General features: G+C 40.3%; 1 protein-coding gene across 14 annotated transcripts in view; it reads right to left on the minus strand.

Annotated features, from left to right (window-relative positions):
• PLD5 (phospholipase D family member 5) overlaps nt 1–21,250 on the minus strand; it is a 447,561-nt gene that overhangs the window by 146,938 nt on the left and 279,373 nt on the right. Inside the window, exons 1-2 of one of the 14 annotated variants that reach the window (XM_017000570.3) lie at nt 10,903–11,820; nt 10,316–10,653 (exon numbers count right to left, since the gene is read on the minus strand). The exons of 11 other annotated variants lie outside the window; for them this stretch is intronic. The gene's annotated coding sequence lies outside the window, so the exon portion shown is untranslated. Of the gene's footprint in view, nt 1–10,315; nt 11,821–15,155; nt 15,198–21,250 lie in introns of those variants that run through there. 2 more of the 14 variants (XM_011544121.3, XM_011544122.4) reach the window with 2 other exon arrangements.

A 21,250-nucleotide genomic window follows, 5' to 3' on the forward strand; every position in this document is an offset into this window, starting at 1 on the left:
TGTGTTTCTCAATTAGGGTCCATTCAGTTCCCCAAGCTACCCACTGCCCCATCCCCAGGGGATGTGCAGCAATGCCTGGAGACATTTCTGCTTGTCGCAACTGTCAGGGGGATGCTATTAGTATTTAGTCGGTAGAGGCCAGAGATGCTGCTAAACATCCTGCATTGCACAGGATAGCCCCCAAACAGCAAAGAATTATTCAGCTCACAATGTTGACAGCTTCAAGGGTGAGAAGCCCTGCATTAAAGCTGCGTGTTTATGCCTAATCCCATATGTCTACCACTTTCCTGTAATGCAACCACTATTTTAATTCAGTATTTAACATTATCTTATTTCTAAAATATAATTTATCCCATACATATGCATCCCTAATAGCATTATAAAATTAATCACTAGCTTTTGAAAAGAATGCTAATGAGCCTCAAGCATATATCAAAGGGAAACATAACACTATGAATAATTATAGATTTCTGGAAAGGTTTTCACCTATTTCCTGAAAGCAAGGTTTGCAGCAGAAATTTATCTTATCCATCAATCTCTTCTTCTGAAAATATTAATTTGTGTGAACAATGAAAAAAATCATAGTTCGCCTGTTCTTGGGGGCTTTAATTCTTATTAACCAGTACAGTTCAATCAATTTAATTACCAACATTTTAGAATTCATTGGCTAGAAGACTAACGGGGAAACATGAAAGGGTGAAAATCTTCTGTCATGACACATCGTTGCTTTCAAATAATTCAGTAAATGAGAGTAAGGGAACTTTTAAGATAATCAATTATGTATTCCAGCTGTAAAAATAAAAAGAATCTTAGCACAATGCATTTTTAATTTTAACATATCTATTCAAATACTGTGAAAACTATGTTGTAGAATCTCTCACAGGTTGCTTTGATGCTTCATTTTTAGTCTACAGGTTTGGACCTACAAGGGTGGTTTCTAAGAGTTGTCTCTTCCCTGTCATATATTTGTCTTATGACTAGGATATTCTGCTTCTTGGGAAATACTGTGCTTTGATTATATATAACCTTCTAGTCCAACAGTTAAGCTATCTATAGGAATGTTTGCTTTCAGAAACAATTAGGCTTAAAAATAAAGACTGTGCTCAAAAATAATAAACTTACTTAAAAATAACATTTACTTGAGTAATATTGCCTCAATTATGCATAAAATTTAAACATTCTACACTTAAAACGGATCAGCAAGAACACTGTCTACAGTGGCTCATTAGTTCTATTAAAAAATAATAAGGTCTAGGAGGTTGGTAGCTGCCGGGGCACGTGCTACGGCTTCCTCCCTCTTCCTCCTCCCTCTTCCTCCTCCCTGTTGAGGTCACACAGCTATCTGTATGGCCACGAAGGAGGACAGTGGGGAATGATGAGTACTTCCGAGGCATCCGTTTTGGTGCCAGTGCTCACGGAGAGAAGGCAGCCTCTTAGAGCCCAGCACAGTTGCAGTGCCAGGGAGGATGGAGATCCAGTAGCTTTGGAGGAGCTTTGCTTTCTTGGAAAAGCCAACATCGTTCTCTTTACCTTACCATTTGCTGTCCAATAATGCCAGAAGATTCCACAGCCCAATCTGCTGTGATTCTGAGATGACAAACCTACTCATATTGTTACATGACACCTCATCTAATACATCAACAGCTTAGAGGAGGCTCACCAACTAGAGAAAACATATGGCTACCATTGAGTTAGGTAAAATGGAAGAGACAAGAATTCTTCGGGACATTTACAAAGATGTTTCGAGAGAATAATCTAAGGATAAGGCAATGAGCTTAGAAATTTTTAAAAATCCAAAACAATAATTCAATAGAGGAGATCTAATATAGGATTGGCAGCACTGAATGCTGAAATAATAACCTGGATGTTTAAAAGGAATAATTTACTTATAAGACAGAGTGAACACAAAGAAATTGAAATGACTAAAAAACTAATGCAAGAAGGATGTATCCTATCCAGGGGCAGTAATATCTCAAAGTCTCAGAGGGAGTAAAAGGGATCTCTTTTAAAATAAGGAAAAAAAAAAAAAGAAAGAAAAAGAAAAAAAGATGACCAATGTAAGCAAAAATGACGAGACAGCTTAACTAAGATATTCAAAATCTAATTGCGGTAGTTCTAGAAATACTCAAAATCAGAGGAGAAGAAATTATAAATAATAGTAAAATTCCCAAGGACTGAAAGACCTACGTTTTAAAATTTTAAAGCCCACCAATCCCTGGCAAAAGTTTAAAAAGGCCCACACACATATCATAATATAATTTCAGAATATTGGAAATGAAAAGAGATTTTAAACACTTTCAGAGAGGAAATGAACAAATAAAAATAACATACGAAGATTAACTTGAATTACACCAGATATTTTAATAGTAACAGAAAACTGGAAAATAGTCTGAAGAAAAAAATTTGTATATCTAGCAAATACTGAAGATAAAAGTATTTTGCTTTCTCATTGAAAGTACAAATTCTTCCAGAAAATGGTCAAATTTTTAAACAGTATTCACAAATAAGGGAGAGTATATATTTATGTAATTTGGGGGGATATGTACCTTATTTAGGAAAGTATTAATTTAGAACATAAAATATGTGCTGCATTTTTTTTTTCTCTTTGAGTATATATAATTGAAGGAAAAAAATCATCAAGTCTTAGTACTTTAAAAGGCTTATTCATAAGCCAGGTGTGGTGCTCAGATGGGCAGATCACTTGAGGTCAGGAGTTCGAGACTAGCCTGGCCAACATGATGAAACCCCATCTCTACTAGAAATACAAAAATGAGATGGGCAAGGTGGTGGGTGCCTGCAATCCCAGCTATCCAGGAAGCTGAGGTAGGAGACTTACTTGAACCCAAGAGGCGGAGGCTGCAGTGAGCTAAGATCATGCCACTGCACTCCAGCCTGCATGACAGAGTGAGACTCCATCTAAAATAAAATAAACTAAGAAATAAAAGGTTTGGCTGGGTGCGGTGGCTCACACCTGTAATCCCAGCACTTTGAGAGGTCCAGACAGGTGGATCACCTGAGGTCAGAAGTTCGAGACCAGCCTGGCCAATATGGCAAAACCCCGTCTCTACAAAAAATAAAAAATTAGCCAGGCGTGGTGGCAGGAGCCTGTAATCCCAGCTACTTGGGAGGCTGAGGCAGAAGAATCGCTTGAACCCGGGAGGCCAAGGTTGCAGTGAGCTGAGATTGTGCCACTGCACTCCAGTCTGGGTGACAGAGCAAGATTCTGACTCAAATGAATGAATGAATGAATGAATGAATGAATGAATGAAATAAAAGGCTTATTCATGTTAATTTGAGCTTGGTCACTGAAAGAAAATTAGGTCATTCTTTGGTCAGGTATCTGTGACAGGTATAAGGGACTGAGTCTCAGGGGAAGGGAATGACTTGCCTGTTGCCCACAGCTACCAAGTAAGGTGAGACCCAGGGTTTTAAGTTCAAATTCAGGATTCTCCTGGCCTCTGGCTCAGAATCACACAACAATCTGAATGACTCTGATGCCCTAGAGAGATGTTCCTCTTACAAGTGGGAACGCTTAAAATAAATCACTATTAGAAGAGACTGATTTCTAATGAGTCCCCTATTCAATATTGTTCCTTAAGAAAGGCTAAAGGAAGAGAGAGAGAGAGGAGTTGGAGGTAGTGAGGGCGGCAGGGAGGGAGGGAGGGCTGGCGGCAGGCATGCAGGCAGAAAAGAAGCAAGCAAGGAAGCAAGCAAGCTAGCTAAGTGGTCCTTCAGAGGTTTGGCTTTGTTCATTATCTCCAGCAAGTAGCATAGTGCTGGCCATGTTTTTGGGTCCAATACACATGAAAAATAAGACTGACTAAGTGAATGAGTGAATGAATCAATGTTTGCAAACAGCCCCCCTCTAGCTGTGTGTGTCCCTCTCTGTCTCCTCCTACACTCTCTGTCTCGGAATAACTGAGTGAAAGAAATCAGTCGTGGCCTCCAACAAAGTCAGACTAAATGTACTGGGGCGGAAAAGGAGCCAGCATTGTGAAGGAAATATGCTAGAAGAACAATCCTTTCTACATGGGAGATGTGGTTAAATTAAACTGTAAAGATGGTTCCATTCCAAGCCAAATTAATAACAAAAGGAAAAATTAGGCAGCAAGACAGGACTAACATGACTTAAACAAAACTCCCAAATGTTAACGCATTTGTTCCTTCCTTTGAGAACCAATAGTTTCAATATTTATTCTTCTTCCAGAAAAAAAAATTACAATGTGTCTTCCATTCCAAATGAGATACAAATTCATTTCTTTACTTCTCAAGTTATCACAGAACTCAAAGGAGGTGAAGGAGGGAGGGTTTCTTTGTAACCCTCTCTGAAGGCTCTGAAGAAAAATCCAGCCAACCGTGCATTGAATGCCTCTAAGACTTCTAAGTTCTCCTTAGCACTGCTCCAGTCTTAAGGAGCCCCACATCTTATGAACTTAATGGCCATCAGATCTCAACACTCTTGCCAAACCCCTGCTGCAGGACAAAGACAGTGGCATTGAACTTTTTTTTCAGAAAAAGAAATGGGTAAGAGTTAAACCATATATGAGACCAGGACAAGGTGAAGAGGCAATGCCAGGTGTCAGCAGGAATCATGGAGCTGGTGGAACAGTAGAGTGAACTCCAGGGACTGGGGAGGCAGACGATGGAGCAGAAAATGGGGACCTAGGGAGAGGGTTTGGGTGGTCCAACTTAACACCTGGAGATGCCACCTGCTGGGAATTTATTGACCCACTTCGGTTTTCTTGCTTCTTGGTGGTACAAGAGTGGCACGTGCTCACCTCCCTGGACGTGTGGGCACCAGACATGCTCTGATCTTTCCTCTGGTTTCTTCCTTTCTCAGTCCCTGATTCTGCCAATAAGCCTAACTGGGGATGGGATGGGAAGGCAGAGTGCAGTAGGAGGGAGGGAGGTGAGAGAAAGGCTCTGAAGAAAAGTCCTGTGGATGGCATCTCTAGTTAGTTCCTGGTGTAGACTTGAGGGCCCTGACATCCGACTTCCTAGTTCGAATGTTGCTTATGCCACTTAGCAGCTAAGTGTCCCTGTACAAACCTGTGCCTTGGTTTTCTTCTCTATAAAATGGGGATGAAATAAGAGAGGAAGTATGTTATAGAGTTTCGTGAGCTCTAAATGAGTTAATAGATTGAAGCACCTGCGTGACAAAAGTGCTCTGAAACGTGGATCTCTGTGCAGTTCCCTTTTGTAACCGCTCATCACAAGAGTCATTTCTTATTTAGCATTTGTCTTCCTTGCTAGGTTATAAGCCTCATGAGGGTAATAACAGGGTTCTGATTTGGCCACATCCAGAGGCATTCAACAGATATCTGCTGAATGAATGAATGAACCACCTTTAGATCACCTTTAGTATTCCCTTCATAAGTCACCAAGAAATAACACAATTCATTTAATAGGCCTGTGGCCATTCAATTAGGTGATAGAACTAGGGATGAATGTTCAACTTTTAAAATTAAATTCTTCCTGATTAACGTCGGTTCACTGTACCCAGCAGAAAGCTCAGTGTATATCCTAAAAAGGTCCCTAAGTCTTCATTCAGTCTGAGAAACTCAGAAATTTCAAATGGGAAATGCTCCTGGGCCATGGAAAGGAAGGGAATGGTAAGAAGAATATGAGAGTATCAGGATTTGGGGGAGAAGGAGGGAAAGCATGTGTCTGTATGTTATAAAGGAGAGTGGAGACACTTTAGAAGAATCAGGTTCTCTAATTAACAAGAGAAGAAGCTTCAGGCAATGATCACATCGCAAGCTGGAGTAGGAACCTGCTGTGCTCCTTGCCGTTCTTGAAGCTGTTGGTGTCCAACTTCCTTTCAAGGAAGGGCTATGCTGGCCCAGAGATCCTCATCACACACCTCACAGAGAGGCATGTTGTTAACAGAAGGCTTTGCCTGGAACATTATTTTAGTGTAGTTCTCGTGTCTTCCAGTGCAGAGAGTGGGGAAAAGTCCTTCAGAAAAAGCCTCCTGCATCCCTGTTAATTCATTTGCCTGGAAGAAAGTATTAAATCAAGCTTCGATTTTCTGTAATCATGACTTTCAGTGGCACATTTCTCAAGCACATGCACAAGTGACTGTGATATTAGGTGCCACGGTCTGAACATGTGATTCGTGAAGGGGGCAGAGCCTTCTTGGATAGGATTAGCACTCTTACAGAAGAGGCCCCAGAGAGACCCCCAATTCCTTCCACCACACAAGGACACAGTGAGAAGATGGCTGTCTATGAACAAGGAAGTGGGTCTTCACCAGACATGGAATCTGCCAGCACCTTGACCCTGGACTTTCCAGCCTCCTGAACTGTGAGATATATATTTCTATTGCTTATAAGCTATCCAGTCTATGGTATTTTGCTATAGCAGCCTGAACAGACTGACAGTGGGTTAAAAGAAATGCTTCCAAGGGCTCCCAATCTAATGCAAGAACTCCCAGAAACTATGACCTATCCTGAAAAACAGACAGAATTTTATGTCTATTTTCACAAGTTTTTCATTTAGCCTAAAGTTTTACATAGCTTTTTTTATATCAAGCTCTGTCTAGTGTCTAGCGAGTCAAGAATATAAGCAATTTCTCCCATCTCCAGAATGAATTACTTTTGCTTTTGAAAAAAATAATAAAAACAACAAAAAAAAACTCACAAGCATCATAATTAGAAGCCAATAAAATTTAAATACTATTAAGAGATTTAAAGGGAGGTTTGCACCATGGGAAATCTTTTATTCTACAACAAAACAGAATTTCTGAATAGAGTTTTCATAAACTGTTTTATCACAAAGATACAATACCCTGGGGGAAAATCACCTGCTTCTAAAAATATGGGTTCACCATTTGTAGGGAGAGGAAGAAAGCCTGGCTAAGCTAACCCATACATGTGTTCCAGTAGCCATTCCTTTTTCAACTTCAGAATTCCTCCATTTCTAAACCTCTCCTTAGAAAAATGTAATCACTGTTTGAACTATCTTCCAGGTTGAAGCCTGCCAAGGAAGAATTGGGCTCACAACTGATTGAAATTAGAACTTGACAGCTTTAATTCCCCAATTAAAAATAAAAAAGAATCCAGGATACTGAAAAATTGTTCTTTTCACACAGACAAGCAATGTGTCAGTGACTGTCTTCCCACCATTAACCATGGAACAGAAAGCATGTGTGATTGTGTTTTATGAGACTGCAGCTCAGGGGAATTCTCTTAAATTTCTTTCTCCCTTTTTTTTTCTTTAAAAATCACCAAAGGAAAAAACAAACAGCTTTGGTAGATAAGTTACCAAATTCCATGATTCTCTATAAATATCAGAGCTGGTATCATGTGTCATTCACTCTGCAGAGATTGTGTAAGATTAACATGAGTTAATATTTTATATGAAAGGAAGATGACCTTATAAAATGAGTTAAGAAAAAAAAAACACTTTGTGCAGTTGGTAGAGGAAAGAATAAGGCTTCAGGTGCCAGTTCTCAACGTCTTGCATCTCAGCTCCAAATCTGTCCTTCAATACCTGCTTTGTGATAAGGGAGGGGTTTCCTTTCAGCTTTTCTCCTGCACAGACAGCATGAGGTAGAGCTTTCTTAGTAGGGGTGCTAGAGGGACAGTGCAGGAGCAAGGGGGCTCTCCTGCTGTTTTCAACTGGTGCATGGTGGGCCACTGGTGTGGGTGTGAAGAGATCTGGTGATGCTCAGTAACAGCCACGTGCCTAAAAGATATAGTCCCTCAGTGCCCTTGCAGCCCTGGCCTGGGCTGGTGGTAACATTCTTATGGCTTTCTCCACATGGATGCCATGTAGGCCAGACCCCCTATTCCCTCTGCTTCCTTGCATGCCTGGCCACCTGCTATGGCTCACCTGTGCCTTACTTGCATCCTAGAGGCAGGATTGCCAGATTTATTAAAACAAAACAAGATTCTCGTTAAATTTGAATTTCAGATAAATAACCATAATTCCTTAACATAAGTATATCCCATAAAACATTTGGGCCACACTTAGACTATAGGCAGACCAGCCAACTTTGGAATCCAGAGGGCTGCAATCACACATTCTCCGATGTGTCTGAACCCTACCTAGCTTTGCATACACCCCTCATCCCTCCTGTAACATAAATACTTTTCTTAACAGTTTTGAACCAGAGATAAGTAATTCTTTATATTACATTTCCCTTAGTTTAAGTTACTATGTGGTTTCTGTCTTCTGATTGGACACAGACTGATATACTTCATATTCAGAAAGAAACAGAGAAGAGGGTGGTGAAGAACTTTGTGAGGTAATTTGCAAGTGAGAAAATACTAGGCATGTCCAGGTATGCTTTTAAAAGCAATTCTGATCAAGACAATGCAGAGTCCTGAAAACAATAAAACACCTAATGCCAGAAGCCATCTGAATTTAGGGTTTCGGGATCTGTGGCATGAAACACCTGCTACCCTCTTCCTGCACTTCATGGATACTCTGCATCCATTGCCCCGTCAGCCCAGCTGCCCTATTGTTGGCTGCAGGAGCATCTTGCAGATAGACTGGGGGCTGATGATGCCCCTTGCTAGCAGGCGGTCTAGCAGTCCTCCTTAGAGAGTGACAAACACACCTATAAGGTGCAATGGAGAGTCATTCAAGACATGCTACTATTGAGCTGAGGAGTTTCCACGGTCTAAGTAAAAGAATGAGAAGCTTTGAAAAAAGAGATGAACTTTGCAGGGAAACTTAATTACTGGAAGTATTTTGTGTGTAAGAAACTAACATCTGAGGAATTCTCTTTGAGAGTTCTCTGGGGGAAATGAAACTTTGTGAAGTCATAGAACGCTTATACTAAAAAAATCAATTTCTGAGACATGAGCAAGTGTAGAAGTTCAATGATATGGCTATTTGAGGTTATGGGGCCATCTGAGTGAGCAGAGCCTTTGGATGACTCTGGGGCCTAGCAGGGACCTCAGGGAGAGTGGTGGGAGCCATAGCAGGCTTTCGTTAAAGCTCACAGAAGGATTGTGAAGGTTCTGCCCTGGTATCCTCTGTCTGGGTACTTAACTCACTGGAAGGCTTGTAGCATATCCCAGTTCAAGTGGGATACCTGGAGCTGCCTCAGGCCAGAGATCTGTTTGCCTAATCTGTTTGGGTTCTATATTATGTCATGAAGTAAAAGGTGATCATTCAAAATTTATAACATTTTGAGGAACAACAATCTCATCTTTCTTTGTACTGTAGTCACTCAGGGGTCTTGCATTTCTCCCGTTGGGTTATAAACTAGAAAATTGGAACTTGTATTTTATTCATTTGAAATCCCCCATTGTCTGGCACATGCTGTAGAATCTCTGTGCTCCTCAGAGAAACAATAGGAGTGGGCACAGTATCACATCTTTGTCCCATAGTCTCTGCATGTGCTCAGGAAGAAACACAGTCCTTGTTGGTGGAATGAATGATTGGAAGCCTATAATTCTAAAAAGAGAAAGCTTATGTTGTATTGACTTGTACTTGGTTCACTTTTTGAGTTACCTTGCATAATTCAATTGTTTTAAAGCCCGTTAACACTAAGTGCTTTATTTTATAACCATCGGAATTATCAAAGACAGCTGAGGAGGTCTTTGAAGATCTTTCCTTTATGTGTGTGGCTGAGGAAATGTATTGTATTTACTTATATGTACTCTGATTAACATGATTACACAAGACCAAATACAAGTGTGTAAAGAAGTCCTTCTTCCTGTCTCTCTTAGAATCTAGATCTACCAACAAGCAGCGGGAGGTGCCTGACTGCACAGCAGGTTCTGATGAAATGGAGGGTTTTTAAAACCAGACAGTCTGCACATCCACCGCTTAACCAACTTGTCCCCTCGGGCAAGTCGTTTAATCTCTCAGAGCCCCACGTAAAAAAGGAAACAATAATAGAACAGTTTTTTTAAAGCTGCTGAGAAAATTAAAAGAGGTAATCATGGGCATCTAATACTCAATAAATATTTGTTATTACTATTATTACTATTTGTGTCAGAGTTGGGGAATTGAAAACTGTACTTGGGCAAATTTGTTTAACGAAGGGCTGCCAAAAGTTAGCTGCATGCAGCTTCTCCTGGTGTTTTGTTCGTGGCTACAGAAAGGGATGCAGAAAAGAAAATTTTTTTCTGAGTGGCCCTTAGATTTTCTACCAGGAACAAACATCTACTTCACTGTTCTTAACTGTCAACCTCTTCAAGACCTCCCGAGTTGGCTGTCAAGACTTTATTTTACACTGCACATGGCAAGTGGCCAGCACTCTTACATCTATAGAAATGTTTCTTCCCTAACTCACAGGTCTTTCCATGGCCTCCACTGGCTTGGCAGCTCCATTTACTCCCCAGACACGCATTACCTTGGAATATCGATCTTCTCTTGGCATAGAGTCAGCCTCCAAATCCCATTGCTTCATCCTGCTCAGTGTCACTACTGTTTGATTTAATTATCCATCTCCACTGCTCTCCCCCAACATTCTTTTCCTTTAATATGGTTAATGATTTATAGTATTTAGTTCCTTCAACAGCTGTGCTTGAAAGACACAGTCTGGGCAGTTAATGACCTGTGAATTATTTAATAGCGAATGTAATGACCTCAGAATTGAATTGATGCTTTATTAGTAATTTTGATGGTCTTCTTTCTAGGTTTGGTGAGGTGGGCCTGAGGGAGTTTTTTTCCCTTTGAAGATACATGGTTCTGCAAAAATTGAAGGTAAATATGTAAGAAACATCAGGGAGTTTTAGGCCAAAGGCAGAGAAAGTGAAAATTTTCAGGCTTAAGGACAGCGGGAAAATGTAGTGCAAAAAAAACAAAAAATATTTTCAAGGTGAGGGTGGAGGCAGCAGGACGTACAGAGCTGGTTGATGGAGACAAGGATGTGGAGAATTCAGGGATGAAAAATAGTCGTATGTGACAAAGGAAGAAAATCAGTTAATATGGCTCTACCCTCTTTCTTCATCCTGTATGTTGACTCTTTCTTCCTGGAGCACCTCATGGACTCTATAAAGTTCTAGCTCAGCTTAATAAAAGAACATGAATCATTCTGGGAAGAGAACTGGGTGGCTGTAAAAGGTGTAACTACAACAAGGTAAATGCTGGGCAGAACAGAAATTTAGATAAACATGATTGGCAGAGATATTATTTTAATAATTAATTTGCGTTGGCCTCATTAAAAAAGGAAATAGCGTTTGAGGAACACTACGTTAGACGAGCCAAGAATCAGAGAGGAGACTCACAAAATGTAAAATTGTACTAAACCGTTCTACAGAAAGGTATGGGTTTTCTTCTGAAGTTGTTGGTCAGACCCACAAGCACTGCCTGTAGTACTGATATGATGTCAGGAAAGCTCCCCATGAAAACATCACCCGCTAGACAAAGATTGTGTAGGGTAGAAAACCCTGAGGTTACATGAGTTTTTATCATATTGAAAAAGCCCTGCTGATTATCTTTTCATGGTCCCAGAAGTTATGAGATCTTAAAAAGCCCCCTAATTTCTATTCAATTCAAATACCTAAAAATTAAGGAGCCCTAGCAAAACCTCTGAACACTATGTTCTTTTCTTATACCAACTGTCATTTCCAACTGACAATCCTTTTCAAATCTCATTAAAGGGAAGCTTATTAGCTAACTTCCTAGACTCGACAGCATGGTTAGTAGTTCTGGGTAGTGCTGAAAAATGACAAATAAGGTGGTATGCCAAAATCTGCCACTGTGTTGACCATGGTAAGCAAACTGTGTGGAATCAAACTTTCTGAGAAAAATAATTCAGAGGCCTGGAAACTTCTACAGGCCACTTGGTTATAAATGTGCGCAGGTTGGTGAGGTACAGGCTTCTCCATCTGCACTGTGGAGAAGCCAGCCCACTAATTTATTCATATGTATATTCCTATAGGCCACAAAATTTACTTATTTCTATTTGCCTCTAGGACCTCTACCAGCATTAAAAATATTGAAGAAGGCTTTGAAGAAGAAAGAACTTGCTTTACTTACTATATATATATATATATATATATATATATATATATATATATACTTACTGTATATATATATACGCTTATATATATATACTACTTATATATATGCTTACTTAAATATATACTATATATACTTACTATATATATATATATATATAGACACACACACACACACACACACACACACACACATATGGTTGATGGAGAGAAGGATGTGGAGAATTGACAAAATGATCATTAAAAAATCCAAATCAGATCAAGTCATTTCCGTCAGTACCTCAACAGCGTCTGGCACATTGTAAGAATGCAATAAACATTTGTTAAAAGAGTGAACGAGTTAGTTGATGAATGAGTAACTTGCGCGAGGTCCTAGAGCTAGAATTGTAATCTGAGTCTGTCTCATTTCATCATGATATACACCTGCGCCTGCAATCCAGGGGCAGTGCCCTGGATTCTCCAGCCTGTCCCCCTATTTTCCAGCCTGTCTTGCTGAGAGCAAACAGCCACGCTTTACCAAATTTCAAAATATGTATCATAAAATGGCTTCACTGTACACATAGTAAAGCCATAAACAGATTTCTTAGGCATTTTTAAATGTAATTTAAAGGTTGCTAAGCAGAAGAGGGTGGATGTTTTTGTCATTTTTCTAAGGTTTTGCTAAAGATCCAATAACATTGGCTAAAATCACACGCATGGGGCACTCTGTCAAGAATTAACACAACAGGTATCTTTCACCACCCATTAATCACGGATCGTAGACACATAATTCCACTTTTCTGTGTCTCAGTTTTCTGATCTGTGAAGTGAAAATAATAGCATCTTCCTTTCTGGGATGCCTGAGGGTTAAATAAGAATATAGGTAAAGCACATAGAATAACACCTATTAGTTGGAACTATCACTAACTATAATCATATTGCACATATACCAAAGATCTGTGGGGTTTTTTGGTGAGTGTTTTAGAAAGTGAAAGAACTTTTGGTAAATCATATTATTATCCTCTAATTTGGAAATGTTATAGCAAGTTGACAGTTGAATGTGTATTCCACCTCCCGGTGATTACAGGCAGGTTTTTATTACTAGAGAGTCTGTGCCTCACCTCTCTCTCCTTAGCCTCTGAAAAACTCATTCCCCATATCTTTCCTTCCAGTAAGGAATCGACATAAATGTGACAAAATGGCTTCTCAGGCAATTTCATCTGAGGAACTAAACAGAGTCCTAAAACAGTAAAAATAAGGAAAGGAGGCATCTGGGGCTGCCAAACAGACAGCTTGCTGTGCCACAAATGGGGGATTGGCACACACTTAACACATATGCCAGGGCCTGCTGTGTCTTACGCGAGCGTAAAGGCTGAGCTGACGAGGGGAGGAGGGGTAGGTTTGAGTGGAAAAAGGCAGTTTAAAGAGAGTCCGGCCAAACTGGTTTCTGAAGAAGAGATCTAGAGTGTGTACAACTCCTTCTTGGAACTCAGAGGTGAATATGACATTCTCAGTTTCTTCTGAAGAACAAATTAAATGAGGAGGGTTATAATTGCAGCTATGGAGACATAGGGTATATCCTGGGAAGAGCTTAGAACTGAACCAGAGGGCAAAGAAAGATCTGTACATAATTCAGGAAGAGATATTTACTACCAGAGGAGACCATTCTCAGCTTAGGAGAGATGGAATCCCATCTTGCCTGGAAACTCAAGCCAGGAAATATTTATTGAGCACTGGTAGTTCTATGTACATGGCAGGAATTCAATTCAGTCAACACAGTGCCTTCTAGTTTAGGGCCCTTTGGAAGGGACAATAGAAGAGGAACAAGGAGTTTGGGAAACTCTTCCTAGGCCAGATCCTGTCCAACTTGGCTCTACTATAGACAGAAGCCTCTCTGCTGCCCATGAAATCAAAAGTGAAAGCTCTCAGGGCTCCTCTCTCTGTGTGAGGCATCTCTAGCTAGCAGAGTGATTTAACACTATTCTGCTGAAAATTCAGTAGAGCTTCTGCTTTTTAATTGGAAACACGGTAATATCAGGTCTTTTCACATTCCATGTACTTTTTAGATTGTAAAACTAATATATAAGTTCCTCAAAAACACGGTAGTTTTGAATAGCAGCTGGTATTCCCATTTCTGGATCAAAATGATTTAGAAGGCATAAGAGCAATTTTTCTCTGTTCCTGAAAGCTCCCAAATTGTCTGGACCTTTTTCAAGTCTCATAACAAATTCAGAATAAATATGCCTTCCATTTAATGACATATATGCACGTATTACCTGATAGAGTGTGTTGGCCTATGGTTGGGCAGGGAATATCTTGGGATACAGAAAATATTCACAAAAGTCATTCTTTGTGATAGCATGGGAAATCAGAGGATTCATTTCATTTGCCTCCACCTAACCTGCAGTTAAATACGATGATGTATTCTTGCAGAGGAGCCTCACCGGCAGGCACATAAGCTGCTCCAAAGTACTCATGATGAGGAAGAGGTGATCCAGGAAGACTTGGTCCCTGTTCATGGGACAAATAGGAGATACACATGGGGACAAAGAGGAGACAACACAAAGTAGTATCTAATTGAGTAATAGATACGTAAGGCCGATTAGATACTGAAAGGAATTTATCCTTGGGAAAACCTCAGTGGGTACTTGAGCTGAGAAAAACAGATTCACATTCACTTGGCCAAGTATTGGCTTTAAATGAGTGGATACAAATACGTCTCCTGCAGAGGCATGGGTTTAGAAACAATGGAGAGGATGGATATGTGTAACCAGGGTGTCATTTCCAACGGCTACTAGGAAGTAAGGTGTTGGAAGAGAGTGTTGCTTCCTTACGGAGAATGCACTGCAAAAAATTCAGCAGAGCTCACCATTGTTCTGAGATTTCAGGGGTCAAGACCTCAACTTCTCATGATGCCTTCATAGGTGGTCAACAACTGTCTGTTGAATGTGTATAAACTTCTGAATCATGAGCAGACTTGGACAAAGCTATCTTTTTCTAAGCAAGACTCAGTAACAACCAATCAGAAAATAAAGTTCTACCTAAGTTTCCAAATTAGAATAAGATGGATGCCAAACTCAGAAACTCAAATAGAACTCAGAGACCTAATTAGCCACTTATGACTTCCGAAATGTTATTGAGTTATTTTACAATCTTAAACTAAATCATTTAAAACTCCACTCAGCTTATGAGTAAGTTTTGTCAATACTGATTATGCTGGGAGCCTCAGGCATGTGCCAAGTACATTACCATGCTGTTGTTTTTCCAGTATTATATAAAACCTTCAAGTTTTTCAGACTTGAACCACTGTAATACTGACTTCTGTGGGTTAGGAAAAGAAAAAAAAGGAGCCTTTTAGAGAAGGTTAATTTAAAAGATAAGCACAATTTACATGTAAGGAAACATCAAACCAGAGTAAAGGTGCTACTCTTTCAATAATGCCTTCCCAAACTGAAGCATGAACAATCTTGACTGAGGCATAATTATAGGAAATTTGCTTAAGGGAACACAGAAGCATAGACTTCATTTTCAAAAGCTGGCATTTGCCTTCTCATCAGCTTTGCTTCGTGCATAATTAGATTCATTCATCAGCCTCTTTGTTCACTGTAACAGCCTCAAATCAAGCGCTTGCCTGTTCAGCACAGCGTGTGGGGATGCAGCGGCGTAGGCTCCTTGGAGAAAGCAGAAGTTTGGCTTCAGGAGGAAGCACAGACCCATTCTCAAGCCTGTCAGAGTGAGTTAGGTCCTATCTCTGCACACCTCCTCCTCAAAACTACATGAAAGATTTAGTATCCATTGGTAGTTTTGAGTCATTCACATTCAACATTCATAAGTTGGCATTTTCAGCTGAGAAGCCCTTTAGGATATAAATGAGGAAATTTCCCTGGGAGAATCGGGGGTGGGAATGGGAATTTGTTCTTTAGGCTGCATATTCCAAGCACAGATTTGCTGAGCAAGAAAGACTGTTCTGGTGTTAGTGGGGCCCAGTACTGTGGCTTCTCACCAGGTAGACCCACCACTGGTTTGCATCTTAAGGCAGCACTTACAAAGTGAACTCACAGCCCCCCTTCTTCCTTCCTTCACAGCATTTCCCTCCTTATACCATACGCCCAAGTTTCTTTGAAAAATGTTTTAAAGTACCTATCACGTGCCAGGTACTATGTTAAATACTTTATTATCTCATTAATCTTCAGAATAACCCTAGGCAGTAGCTACTATTATTAGTCCATTGTAGAAATCAGGAGACTGAAGTTTCAAGAGGTTAAATAACTCACAGAAATGTAATTCCAGTGCTTTGGGAGACTGAGTCAGGAGGATCACTTGGGGCCAGGAGTTCAAGACCAGCCTGGCAACACAGTGAGACCCCCATCTCTACCAAAAAAAATACTTAGCCAAGCATGATGGCATGTGCCTGCAGTCCCAGCTACTCAGGAGGCTAAGGCAGGAGGATCTGTTGAACCCAGGAATTCACGGCTGCAGTGGGCTAGGACTGTATAACTGCACTGCAGCCCGGGCAACAGAGCCAGACCCTGTCTCCAATAAATAAATAAATAACTCACAGAGGTCACACAAGTGACAAAGCCAAGTACATATTCCCACTCCAGAATCTGAGTTTTCAGCCCCCACCCTATACTTGCATAGAAAAGACAACACACACACACACACACACACACACACACACACACACAAAAGCAAAATCAGCTATAATCTCATCACTCAAAGGTAACCCTTATTAACACTTTACAGATGTTTTCACATGTGTAAAACTAGATTATCTTTGAATAAAAATGAAATAACACAATAGCTTCTGTTTTGTAGACTACTGCTTTTCACTTAGCAACATAATCTAAAGATTTTCCCCTTGTTGGTGGTGTTCACAGGAAAAAATCAAACTCGGTAAAGTATTTTACAGAGGTTTATTCTGAGCCAATCTGAGTGACCATAGCCTGGGGAACACAGTCTCAAGACGTCCTGAGAAAGCGTGCTTGCAGTGGTCAGGTTACGCTTTGGTTTTATACATTTTAGGGAGACAGGAATTGTGGTGAAATCACAGATCAATACATGGAAGGCATACATTGGCTCAGTGTGAAAAAGTGAGACCCTTGAAGTGGAAGCTTATGAGTCATAGGTGGGTTTTAGGGATTCTTTTTTTTTTTTTTTTTTTTTTTTTTTGAGACGGAGTTTCGCTCTGTCGCCCAGGCTGGAGTGCAGTGGCGCGATCTCGACTCACTGCAAGCTCCGCCTCCCGGGTTCACGCCATTCTCCTGCCTCAGCCTCCCGTGTAGCTGGGACTACAGGCGCCCGCCACCATGCCCGGCTAATTTTTGTATTTTTAGTAGAGACGGGGTTTCACTGTGTTAGCCAGGATGGTCTCCATCTCCTGACCTCGTGATCCGCCCGCCTCGGCCTCCCAGAGTGCTGGGATTACAGGCGTGAGCCACCGCGCCCGGCCTTAGGGATTCTTTAGTTGGCAATTGGTTGAAAGAGTTAAGCTTTGTGTGAAACCTTGACGTCAGTAGAAAGAAATGCTTAAGAGAAGGGAGTCTGCTGTCATGTGAGGCTGTACCAGAGTCAGGTTGGACAGTAAGTCACATTATACTGGGTCATTACAAAAAACCCATTTAATGAGATTTTATGGTTCACAGGGTGTGACTTAACCCTTGCCTTGCATGGCCTTAGGTCTTGTTTATAATTCTGTATCTTATGGTCACAAAGAGTCTATTTTGTCAGTCTTATGATCTCTATTTTAACCTTAATGCTGGTCACTTGTGCCTAACTTCTAGGAGGACATGAGTTGTGTCTGACCTCCGTTCTCATCACAGCCAATAACTCAGTTTTTCAGGTTTTTTGGGGGTCCCCTTGGCTAAGAGGGGCTCCGTTCAGCAGGCTGGGGGGCTTGGGATTTTACTTCTAGTTTACAGTGGCTATTCTCCTTCAATGTGATTTTTGGATGATTGGTATTCCAACATGTGGATGATCCACTGTTTAATTCTAAAAACCGTGCTGCAGTGTACGTCTTTGTACATAATCTTTGTGAACCTAACTCTGAGCAGCTGCTGTGGCAACCTGAAGGCAATAGGCCTGCAGAATAAAGGACTGGCTGAAGCAGAATCTCTTCCCAACTGAGTCTTGTCTTCACTGAGGCCATGACCATCCAATGGCACAAATCACACCGTGACTCGTAGCACCTCTGGTCTTGCTGCTTTTTATCAAGTTGGTATAACTATGATTAAAGCTTTTGTTGAACTACTGTTATCTTTTGTTCCTCATGGTTATATGGTTATTATGCAGTTATTTTATATTTTGTTATATAGTTACTTTGCACTGAAGAAAGCAAAGTTCTTTTATCTGAGGAAGGCAAGTCCTTTTAAATTATCAGGCTGGGGAAGGCATGAAAACGAGACAGCAATCATGTTGTAACTCCCCACTTTAAGCTATGTATTCATCTCTTGAAACCGCTTACTATTGCCATAAACAGCTGTACATTAACCTAATAATGTCACACTGGACACTATAACCCACATCCTATAGCTTAAAAACATACAGCCAATCATGTGTATATCTATGTAACAAACCTGCATGTTCTGCACATGTATCCCAGAATTTAAAGTATATTTAAAAAAAAAGAAAATGACATTTAAAATACCACACCAAAAAAAAAAAGAATAGCCAATCACTGATCAATGTTATTTCTGCAAACCAAAGAGAATTCCTGACAAACAACTTTGTATCAGCCTAGTCTGTCACCCTTTTTGCCTTTAAAAGCCTGTTTGTAACAAAGGCTGAAGGGAGCTCATATCCAAGGTTAGTTAAGTCTTCTGGGCAGCTGCCCTCACTTTGGCTCAAGTAAACTCTTCAAATTATATTTTGTGCATCAGCCTCTTCCTTTTAGGTTGGTAGCATGTACTCTTTCCTCAAGAGGAACCATAATTTATCAGTTTCCTTAATAAGCCTACAAAATTGTGTATCTCCACACTCCCTCTGCTACAGTTTGAAGATGTTCCCTCCAAAATTCAGGTGTTAAAACTAAATGGCCAGCCGGGCTTGGTGGGTCATGACTGTAATCCCAGTACTTTAGGAGGCCAAGGCGGGCGGATCACCTAAGGTCAGGAGTTTGAGACCAGCCTGGCCAACATGGTGAAACCTCACCTCTAATAAAAATACAAAAATTAGCCGGGTGTGGTGGTGCAGGCCTGTAATCCCAGCTACTCGGGAGGCAGAGGTCGCAGTGGGCCAAGATGGCACCACTGAACCCCAGCTTGGGCAACAGAGTGAGACTCTGTCTCAAAACAAAACTAAACATAACTAAATGGCCAATGTGATAGTATTGTTGGCCCCACTGTTGGTGGGGCCTTTAAGAGGTATTTAAACCATTGGGCTCCTCCCTTTTGAATTGTATTAAATGGCCTTATAAAGGGACTTCACAGACAGGACTGGTCCTCTTTTGCCCTTCCACCTTCTGCCATGAAATGGTACAGCAAGAAGGTCCTCACCAGATGCCAGCACCTTGATCTTGTACATCCTAGCCTTCAGAATTGTGAGAAATAAATTTCTGTTCTTTATAAATTATCCAGTCTCAAATAAGTTTCTGTTCTTTATAAACTACCCAGTCTCAGATATTCTGTTATAGCAACACAAAATGGACGAAAACACCTTCAAATCATCTTTCAAAGAAAGTTAAAAGGGAGGGAGCAAAAAACAACCAGGGGGTAGTGAAACATTAATACCCTTGACTTTTTCTTGAGAAGGAAATCACTTAATACCTCTGCCCAAGTTTGGGTTAATTAGCCATATGGATGAGTGAAGAACTTAGAACACCTCAGCAAACTGCACATATTCTCCTAAGTATGATCCATACTCCATCATCTAACTGGGCAAATGACCAGAAAAAATAATGTAGAAAAAAACATTCAAAATGTTCTTATTTCTGATCTCCATTGGAGCTTATTAAAGGAACAGAAACATTAACCAAAGTAGTCTGAATTATATCAACCTTTCAAATGCCATTTTCAATGTCACTTTCAAGTGCTATTTTCTATTAGGAGACAGATACTATCTAAATTTCCATGAAAATTAGCATTGATATACCATTCTATGCTTTCAAAATGCTCGTACCATCAATTACTAATTAGCATAACATTTCAGAACCATCCTAAGCTTTAATTATAAAGAAATTCCTTTCTAGCATGGTTCCCTTCATATGAAGAAAGTTATTCCTTCACCACCTTCTAGGTCCCAACCATGTCAGAACAAAGTTGTTAAACCCTTCTAAATCTCCTGATTTTAAATTCAGTCACTTGCCACATTGCTTAGTCTCTCCCAGAGAAAAACGGTATACTCAGTGTTATAAAAATCAAGGCTCAACCTGAAATCTGGGAAATTTGAAGTGTACTCTATGTAGTGCTTTATACACCCAAAGCTTGCACTGTTTATTCAACTAACATTTATTTATTGCCTACACACATGTCAGTCAAGTCTCCATCTTGCCCTCATTAAGGTTAAAGTCTAGAGGTAGAAACACGCATTACAGTGCAGGGATGCTCAGAGAGAGGGAAGCCCTGGAAGGTGAAGGGGAATGGGGAAGGGCAGACGGCTCAGCTTGGAGGGAGGTGGGAGAGGCCTCCTGGGGAAACCTTGATGAGAACTTTGGAATGTCTCTGCTGCCATTTGAGTTCCATATTATTTTTTTTAACCAATTCTATTTCTAGACCAGTGCTATTATTTACTTAATTACACTTAAATTTAAATCGATACATTCTTAGCTTTGCTCCAAGTATTACTAATCATAAAATAATGTGTTTGATGTACTAGTTATGTACTACTTTATCCTAATACATAATAAAATAATACATTCAAATAAAACATTCAGCAAGCCGCCAAAAAATTGGTAAAGCAAGGAAGGGACAGGAAGAATTTACTGACTTTTAGGAGCCTCATTCAGTGTGGAGAATAGAACATAGTTAACATTGGAGTCAGGAAAAACTGTTAGGATGTCATTTGCAGTCATTCCAGAGAAATGATAAAGGCCTAAGTTAGAGTAGTAGAGGGAGGGAGGGAAAAGGAGAACTATTTCCAGAAATGTTAAGACTGCACATGTAGAAGTGCAGACTGATTTGATTTTGAAGGTTGGAGGAGGAGAAGGAAATCAAGGTTAGCTCTAGGTTTCTTTGCGGGGCAAATAAAAAAATAGTCAGGTCATTTACTGAGATAAAACTTAATGGAAGAAGAACATGGAGGGCCAGGTGGGGGTGGTGCATCCATTTCATTTTGGATACATTGATTTTGAGGTATTCCGTGAATATCCAAGAGGAAATGTGAAGTTTGCAGTTGAATATTTGTGCCTG

The sequence above is a fragment of the Homo sapiens genome, chromosome 1 (assembly GCF_000001405.40).
Source record: "Homo sapiens chromosome 1, GRCh38.p14 Primary Assembly".
Classification (NCBI taxonomy): Eukaryota; Metazoa; Chordata; class Mammalia; order Primates; family Hominidae; genus Homo; species Homo sapiens.